This window comes from Homo sapiens, chromosome 12, assembly GCF_000001405.40.
Source record: "Homo sapiens chromosome 12, GRCh38.p14 Primary Assembly".
Lineage (NCBI taxonomy): Eukaryota > Metazoa > Chordata > Mammalia > Primates > Hominidae > Homo > Homo sapiens.
In genome coordinates, this window is record NC_000012.12 from 10,056,751 (window position 1) to 10,066,840 (window position 10,090).

The 10,090-nt window shown below is 34.1% G+C and overlaps 1 protein-coding gene across 1 annotated transcript in view; it reads left to right on the forward strand.

Moving 5' to 3' along the window:
- CLEC9A (C-type lectin domain containing 9A) overlaps window positions 1-9,281 on the forward strand; it is a 35,350-nt gene extending 26,069 nt beyond the window's left edge. The window contains exons 6-9 of the mRNA NM_207345.4: window positions 4,377-4,523; window positions 6,305-6,456; window positions 7,982-8,103; window positions 8,750-9,281. Coding sequence (NP_997228.1) covers window positions 4,377-4,523; window positions 6,305-6,456; window positions 7,982-8,103; window positions 8,750-8,882 — 554 coding nt within the window. The 3' untranslated portion in view covers window positions 8,883-9,281. The remainder of the gene's footprint in view (window positions 1-4,376; window positions 4,524-6,304; window positions 6,457-7,981; window positions 8,104-8,749) is intronic.
- Window positions 9,282-10,090: the final 809 nt, after the last annotated feature.

Consider the following 10,090-nt stretch of genomic DNA (forward strand, 5'->3'; position numbering starts at 1 on the left):
AAAAATGTTAACTCCCCAAACACAAATTGTATGAAGAAAATGTTACTTTAATGAGGATAAAAGAAACATAGCTAGAAAACCATGTGCCTAAGACTTCCAGTAATTTCTAGAAAATTCTTACAAATAAAAGTTTTTGCTTTTTAAATTTTGTCTTACGAGCTAAAAATATATACTTACAAAACTTAAATATCACTGTACAGGCGTAAAGTATATTTTCCTTTAGCTTTTGTTCTAGTGACTATTAATTTTTATTGTTGTTGTTTTTAAATTTATAATTTGCCTAGGTCTTCTTATACATTTTTAACACTTAAGGCTTTAAAAAAATAAAACCAGTTACCATAATAAAACTGTTGTGTTAAGCAATAAGCAGCTTCTTCATGTGAAACATTCTGTTCAATAACTAATTACTTGTCCCAGCTAGTTACAGATTATGTTATAGCCAGTAGGCTTTGAGTTACAAAAGTCATGTTTATTTTTTAATAAATATTCCATTTTGATTATGTTCCATTTTAAATTAAAATGTTACATCCAATTTTCTTTATGAAAACTTGCATTGCAAGACAAATATGAAAACATATTTAAATTATATACATATATATTTTTTAAATAGGACCATGTGTCTGACAAAAAGTAGTAAATGAAAACTATAACCTTTTATTTAAAAGTATCATAACATGAACATAATGAAAGTGCTAATTACAAATTGCTCATATATATAACTAAAGGCCAGTACCTGACAATAGAAGGACTGGTAAAATTAATTATGTCATATTTATATAAAAGAACACAATGCCATTATTTAAAGAATTCTTCTAGAACCATTGTTATTGTTTTGGGAATATGGTTATGCAATATTTTCTCACGAAAGAAGCAGATTTCTAAAAAGACATTTATATAAAAATATGGTTTTCTAAAGGTTGTATATAAAATACTTTTCTATATACATACATAGAAAAGAGTTTCAATAGATATAAACCAAATACTAATGGCCATTATTTGAGTGGTAGTTCTCAAAGTAAGTAGACTTAACTTTAATTTTCTTCCTACTATTTCACATTTTCTAATTTTTCTACCACATTATTTATGCCATTAATTTTTGTATTAAAAAATCTATAGTTCAAAATATTTTCTAACAAATCAGCTTTTTAATTTGTTTTTACTGTTCATTTTCTTAATTCATCAATTAGGTATAATGTATGATATCATATAACAAATAATTTTATTTGGGGGACGTTAAAAGTATTTTGTTTTTTTTCCCCAGGTAATTATATTGTTTTGTCTTTATTCCTCATTGCAGATTTATTACAACTTCAACCCCAATAAAGGTGCTATATTTTGCTTCCCATTTAGGGTAAAACTCTGAAGAGAAGTCTCATTTCCCTTTCTCCAGTTTTATTACAGTTTCATATAGTATACGCTGTTCAGACAGTAATAAACAACAGCTTCTATGATATAGCTAATCTAAAAAGGTATCTAAATATAAAATTTTAGAATTATATGTTGAATCTAAGAAGAAAATTATTATTTTTCAAAGTCTAAACATGCCAGATTATTAATAGGATAAAAATCAGAGCATCACTGTTCTACACTTGACTCTGGTTAGATCCATCATTTTGCTAGAAAGAGAGAAAAAGATCCAAGCAGCTGACAGCCTGGGTTTTTGTTAACTATCCACCGATGGACAGGGCATACACATCTGCTTTCTCTAGTCCATGGCTTTTGATTTCTGGCATTTTCTTCTCAGCAGCAATGTTGATAAGTAAAACAGATCAGAATATGTAGATATGTAAATGTTTTCTTTTTCTTTTCTTGCTCTGTTGCCCAGGCCGGAGTGCGGAGTGCAGAGTGCAGGGTTATGATCTCACCTCACTGCAACCTCTGCCTTCTGGGTTCAAGTGCCTCTCCTGTCTCAGCTTCCTGAGTAGCTGGGATTACATGCGCACACCACCACACCCAGCTAATTTTTGTATTCTTAGTAGAGACAAGGCTTTGCCATGTTGGCCATGGTGGTCTCGAACTCCTGACCTCAAGTGAGCCACCCCCCTCAGCCTCCCAAAGTGCTGGGAGTACAGGCGAGAGCCACCACGCCCAGCCTGTCTTGGTCAGATGATTTTTCTGTGTGATCGTGGTTACCTCCGTTTTGTGGTTAAAAATATGAAAATAATTTTACAGATTTGCCCATTTGTTCTCCTCTTTTGTTGTTCTATTTCTCTCTAAAAGAGGATTTTTAATCCTAAAGGTCTGGCTGACACGCATAGGTGTTTTTATTTGTTTTTTTTAATTCACTAATTAATTTTTCTTGATGCCATTCTCTCTATACAATATGTCTATTCAATAACCACAATCTAATAATGATTAACATATCATAAACTTATTTTAAACCAATTATATAACTGAGTAGAATCAATTTGCCTGATTTCAAAACCTGTATGAATTAAAGCTAGGTGTATTAGTCGACAAAAAGACAGATATAAAATACAATAAAGAATCCAGAAACAGACTCATACAAATATACCCAAATGATTTTGTCAGCAGTGCAAATCAATTGAAAGAAGGAGGATAGCCTTTTCAACAAATGGTGCTGGAGAAATTAGACATCCATAGGAAAGAAAAAAAGAAAAAGAAAATAAGCCTAAGTCTTCAACCTTACACAAAAATTAAAAGTTAACTCAAAATAGACCACAGTCTTAAAAGTAGAGCATAAAACTGTCAAACTTTCAGAAAACATAGGACAAAATCTTCAGAATCTAAAGGTAGGCAAATAATTCTTAGACTTACATTAAAAAATGGTTAATGAAAGGAAAAGCTGGTAAGTTGGATGGACCTCATCAAAATAAAACATACATACTCTGCAAAAGACACTAGGAAGAGGGTAAAAAGACTTGTTACAGGCCAGGTGTGGTGGCTCATGCCTATAATCCCAGCACTTTGGGATTCCTTGAGCCCAGGAGTTCAAGACCATCCTGAGCAAGAAGGTGAGACCCCATCTCTACAAAAATAAATAAGTAAATAAAAGCCAAGTTACAGACTGGGAATAAATAGTTGTAAATCAATATCTGACAAAGGATTAGAACCTAGAATGTACAAAGAACTCTCTAGTTAGTAAAAAACTAGACCATCCAACGAGAAAATGGCAAAAAGACATGAAAAGACGTTTCACCAGAGAGAATATACAGATGTCAAATAAGCACAAGAAAAGATGTTCAATGTCATTAGCCATTAAGGAAATGTAAATTAAAACTACAGTGAGATATTACTACATACATAATCAGCATGGCTAAAATAACAATAAGTGACAACATCAAATGCTTGTCAAGCTGCAGAGAAAGCGGATCACTCACTCATTCCTGGTGGAAATGTAATATGCTGTAGCCACTCTGGAAAATAGCGTAGCAGTTTCTTAAAAATCTAAACTTCACACTTCCTTAAAACACAACAATTGCACTCTTGAGCGTATACCTCATAGAAATGAAAATTTATGTTCACACAAAAACCTGTACATGAGTGCTTATAGTAGCTCTATTTGTAATGACTAAAACCTGAAAACTACCTGGATGTCCTTCAGTGGATGAACAGTTAAACTAGTAGTGGTAATTCATATCATGGAATTCTACTCAACAATACAAAATAGGTGAACTATTTATTTAAACAACAATCTGCATGAGTCTCCAGAGGATTATTCTGAGTGAACAAAGCAAATAGCAAAAGGTTACATACTGTAAGATAGCATTTATATGTCATTTATGTGATAAAATAGAAAAGGAACACAAATTAGTGATTGCCAGGAGTGAACAAGGGGTGAAGGCAAGAGGGAAGTGGGTGTACTTATAAAAGGGCAAGGACAGATCCTGATGGTAGTGGAGGAGCCGAGTATCTTGATTGTATCAATGTCAATATCCTGGTTGTGCTATTGAACTAAATTTTGCATGTCTATGTACTGATATGGAACTGAGTTCAAATATGCATGTTAATGATAAAACAAAAGGTGCAAAACCATGTAAATATATTGTTACCATTTGTGTTAAGGGGAGAGAGCGAGTTTTATATTCATTTGCCTTCATTTGTAAAGTTTCTTTTTGTTTTATCTTATGTGTAATATTCAAAAGCTCCCAAATAATAAAATATAAATTGGTAAATCTGGTTGTTTGGGGGTAGTAAATCAAGCAAATTAAAAATGGGTGCAAAGAGACATTTTGTTCCACGTCTTTTGTAGTGTTTGATTCTTGTACAATGTAAATTTTAAGCAAAAACCTAAAATAATACAAATTCAAGTCTCAAAAATAATAGTAATTTGTACTTGTCTTTAGTCTGTGTTGAAGGATTATTTTGCTATAAAATGTCAGGATTTTATTAGGAATGATTGCTATCATGTGAAGTGTTGCAGGTGTCCACCATTGCGATGCAGCAGCAAGAAAAACTCATCCAACAAGAGAGGGCACTGCTAAACTTTACAGAATGGAAGAGAAGCTGTGCCCTTCAGATGAAATATTGCCAAGCCTTCATGCAAAACTCATTAAGTTCAGGTAATGGATAAAAATCAGTTTCCACTGTATACATCTAAATATATACACCAATACCTCAAAAGAAACAGTGACACACATTTTGTTCTCTGCAAAACTGTTAGGATTTTATAATAAGAGTGACATAATTTTGGTCACTCTTCAGTTCAATCTTATTTATAACATCCAATACTACGTGGAAACACTAGGGATCCAAAAGAATGCAACTAAAGGAAATGTACAGTCAAATGCCAAAGAGGTGTGTGTGCAATTAGTAGGTCAGATTAAAAAAATACATGCACAAAAAAAAATCGTTTTATCCAGCCATTCAAATTTGTAAGGATGTTTTAGTTCTAGCTCCAAATTTCCCAATATATTTAGTTTAGATATTGTTTTAGATTCAAGTTTAGATAGCTTTGAGCAAAAAAATTCATTTTGAAAATGAGAGTATTTACCACAAAATTCTTTTACGATGCAGGACCTAGCTCTTTTTTAAAATTCTATGAAGTTACTGCAGTTTAATCTTTTATATGCTTTACAAGCATTTTAAACCTAATGCAGAGTCTATTTCTACCTGTCATATAGTTTGCCATGTATTCTATGCTTGGCATTTCATAATGCTTGTACATATAGTTTAGAGAATTAACTTTCCTAGACTGGATACCATTTACATAATTGCCAATGAGAGAAGTCAAACATCAACCATAGTTCCTTCTGATTAAAATTTAATCGAGTGTTTGAAGGATCACTGTGTGCCCAACCATGTTTCTCTATGCAGCAGGCCATTGCAAACTCGGGTGAGGCCCACCTCTGAGCCATCAACCTTGAATAGAATAACAATATCCATTTTGGAGACGTACAAGTCCAACATGTTCTTCAACGCCACCAATACCATTGTCTACACTATTTATACTATAGCAATGTTCAGGATATTGGTTGGCAGGGATTTCAAACAAAAGATATTGAAGAGCTTTAAACAACTTAACATCTGGCCCATGGAAGCTACTGATGAATTATTTCTTGGCCTAAATACAGGGACTGTCTAGAAACCAGAGTTGTGGAAGTTTCAGTGTCTTTCCTTCTATAAACCTGTGCCAGAAACACTTGGTCAAATTCTTGGTCTTTGGTTCCCCTTTTACACATTTGACCATCCTTCTTTTGTGACTATATTCCATCTTAAAACAGGTTCCATAAAACTGATTAAACATTAAGGCTTACTTCTTAGTTGTATCAGAGTCCTAAACTAAGCATATTGTTCATTTATGTTCTTCTCCAATTTTCCTCACCTGCATGTTTTCAAATCACTCCTTAAGGCAGACTACTTGTTCTCTCCATTATCTATAAAATATTTCCTTGTTTAGCTCTCAGAATTTAAACATAAATTCAGGGCTTATTATTCAATCCATCCAATGGTCCAGTACATTTCTGGCTAAATTGGGGCAGTAAGACTAACAGACATGAAACAATAAGCAAACAAGTGAAGACAATAAATGATGTGAATTCAAAGAAAGGAAAGATTGATAAAACTGGAATAATCAGATTATTATAGAAGAGAAAAAATTTAGTTAAATATATCCCAAAATTAATTTCATATTTAAGTTAAAGGCCCATTGCAGATAGAAATTATTACATGAATCTTACTATATTGAGCCTCAGAGAAGCTGAAATTGGTAAGTGCTACATCATGTGGACCATTACGTTATGAGATTCAGCCTCACTGAGGGTGAGGCAAGGGGCTTTTTGGAGGGATATATGTTGTTAATATTTTACAATAAGATACTAAAGTAAAATGTTTATATTCAAAGCCCATAACAGCAGTCCTTGTCCAAACAATTGGATTCAGAACAGAGAAAGTTGTTACTATGTCTCTGAAATTTGGAGCATTTGGCACACCAGTCAAGAGAATTGTTTAAAGGAAGGTTCCACGCTGCTACAAATAGAGAGCAAAGAAGAAATGGTAAACACTGTTTTGTGGTCTCATGTTATTCTGAAAATATCATTTTACTTATTAAAAGAAATCCCTCATTCTCATAAGACAAAATTCCTTAATATTCTATAACAGCAGTATAATTGTAAAAATAAAGGTTTAAAAGAAACAAAGTTGGAATCTGTATTTTTTGTTTTCTTTTTAATGGGAAAACATAAAAACAGGATGGTTTTCTGAAATCGAGAAGAATATGTTTGTTCTATGTCCTTGGTTAATTAAAAAGAGGAGGGAATAAGGAGAATACTATTTTGTAGCATGATAATCCACTTCAAGATATACATATATTATAGTTGCAGATATGTTTTAAATGTATTATTTTCAATGCTGTAGGCAAATATAGTAACCTATAATAATCTTGTAATTATCAAGAAAAAACAGAAGTATAAAAACTGAAGTGGTGCCATGAAATAAATAGGTCTTGAAAAATACAAGTATCTGCTAAATGAAATGTTTAATTAGCATAAAACCTAGTTTACCAATATCTTAACAAGTGAATAGGCTGGGCGGGGTGGCTCACACCTGTAATCCCAGCATTTTGGGAGGCCAAGGTGGGTGGATCACCTGAGTTCAAGGCCAGCCTGGCCAACACGGTGAAACCCTGTCTCTACTAAAAATACAAAAATTAGGCTGGGATGGTGGTGGGAGCCTGTAATTCCAGCTACGTGGGAGGCTGAGGCAGGAGAATTACTTGAACCCAGGAGGTAGAGGTTTGCAATGAGCCGAGATTCAGCCATTGCACTCCAGCTTGGGCAACAAAAGCAAAACTCCATCTCAAAAAAATAATAATAATAAAATAAAACAAGTGAACAATAAGATGTTGCCTTGAATTCATTCTACCCACAAATATATGAAATAGAATGCAAAATTGCACATTTTTGGCCCTATAAAAAATGTATACCTGCTATATTCAGTAATTAGATGAAGTTCATTTCAACAAAAATCATGAGAAAATAATTTGTTAAGGATATGCAGTAAACCAAGAACATTTGAAGTAAATTATTACAGTTGTAGGTGCAAAAAGTTATTTTACGTGCAAATTTGATGACACAAATTAGAAATGCTTCTTCTAACCGAACGTGCTCATAGTTAAGTTGCTCCTGGAATCTCATGAACTATTTTTCTACATCGACGTATACTGAGAAAGACTATTCTATGTGGTCTATGATGTCAAGAATATTTTTATTTTTGATAACGAAGGTTCAGTATAACACTTTCTTTTTTTGACGTATACTACCTGCCAGGCTCTGAATCTGTTGAAACTTTTAAAATCCCAGTTGCCTATTTTTTTCATAGTTTTTAACACCACATGGATCCATACAGCAATCGAAAATAGTCTAAAAAATGTATCGGCACTTTTTTATAATACTCCCTTCTCTCCTTTTCCAGATTTCAAGTTCCCATTAATTTCTAGCTAGGCAAAATGTCACACTTTATATTTCACTAGAGTTTTGTTTGTTTGTTTTTCTCATTTCACAGTTCAATTTTTGTCTCATAGGATTTTATCACTGGCAGCTTGAGGAAGATTAAAGGAAGCTATGATTACTGGGTGGGGTTGTCTCAGGATGGACACAGCGGACGCTGGCTTTGGCAAGATGGCTCCTCTCCTTCTCCTGGCCTGTAAGTCTCTGAGTGAAATGCTACAAGAAAAGTTAGAAACATGAGGGAATTCAAAAGTTTATTTCACCTTGTACCATGAATTTTCTCCAAGGGACAAGCAGCATGATAATGTTACAGGCGGCTAATTGGGATTAAAGCTAACAAAATTAAGAGTAGCTTCATGCCTTCTAAGTCTCTCTCCTTCCCAGCCCTGCTTCTATTATCTTATAGAAAATTCACCTCACAATTTGAGTGTCTGATGAATAATATAATTATCAAGTGTGTTTCTTTTGTATCGCTTAATGTTTAGAGAATAACTATTTATTTCCACATTAAGCTTTTCAGATGGCAGTGGGGAGATGGAGAAGCAGAATCAGGTGCCTTCATATTTTGAAAATTAAGAGTCAGCAAAGAGATTCTAATTTAGGGACTGTCTTTGGGTATCTATGTTTTCTTTTTCTTTACATGCTGTTTTTGTTCAAATTATATTAACATTCTTTATTGAGAGAAAGAAGCAGTTACTGAAGAAGGAGGATGAAACCACCACAGGAAGTTGCTGTGTCAACACAAAACAAAACAAGCAGCTACACACCTCTCATTAGTTACCCTCAGGAGCATTTCTGAAACTCCCAAGTCTAACCTCAGAAATGTTGACTTGCTTTTCCAGGTTGCCAGCAGAGAGATCCCAGTCAGCTAACCAAGTCTGTGGATACGTGAAAAGCAATTCCCTTCTTTCGTCTAACTGCAGCACGTGGAAGTATTTTATCTGTGAGAAGTATGCGTTGAGATCCTCTGTCTGAAAGAAATTGTGTTCAAAGTGTTCTATTACACTGTTATTTGGAGCATGCCATTGGAAAACCCACCCCCACCCCCCCTCAAAAAAACAGAACAGTAAACCAAAATGTGGGCCATGAAATTAGCAACCTGGGACTCAATAATACACTTGGGAATATTCTTCCACACCGTCCAGATTTCATTTGATGTTGTTCACATTGCAAGAGTAAAACTTATTTAGAGCTACAGAAGACAAAACCCTGAAGAGTTAAGAACAAACGCAAGGAAATAATTTTTATTGTTTAAAGCCCGGAATGACTGTAACTTTCACACAAGGTACGCATCTATGTTTTTGGGGGAGGTGATGTAGTTACAGCTGACTAATATTTTTAAAATAAATAAATAAATTTGGCCTTTAAAACTCACTGTCTGTGAGATCTTTCTATGCATTTTCTAGGCTTTCAGGCATTATGTTATCAGACTGATAGAAGAACAGAGATACGAATTTCCAAACTGGAAGAAAGGCAGACTTCTATCTGCAGCCTGTAAGACAATGTACTTTTTAAGATTTGATTTCTTCTAGAAAGATGAACTACTAGAAGTTGACATAAGCAGAAGGAATAGTCAGGATGCCAGGATCAGAATGTTCTCCAGAGAATTCTGTGAATTCCCTCTTTCCTCTCAATGACCATGCCTGGCATTCGCAAACCAAAGGGCTCATGGTCTGGTCCCTCAGGGTTAACACGCCAACACTTTTGATTACGTCTTTCAGTGCCTCGATTGCCTCATTGTAAAATAACAGCAGAACTTACTCCAAAATATTGTGTGAGGAGTAGACTGTAAATATATGTCAGTGCTGAGAATAGTCTTGCACAGAGTTGAACACTCTATCAGTGCTTGGTTTTGTTCTCTGGACTACACCACCAATCATCTATACACATCAACCTTTATTTGTGCATCCCAGGCAAAAATGATCCCTTTTTTTGCTCCTCTTGGAGGGATATTCAGAAGTTAAAGTTTATGTGTAAAATGTCAGCAACTCTCTGGAGAGAATATCTGCTTTAAAGTTAATGGATTCTCCTCAAATAAATCTATAGACATTCTCTGCCCTAAGTCTGTAGACTCCCTGAAGCATGGACTATCTTATTCCCTAGAGACCATTAATAGCAAAGAACCCTGTGATCTACAGAAAGAACAGATTCTTTAATTATTATTATATTACTTGTTACCACTT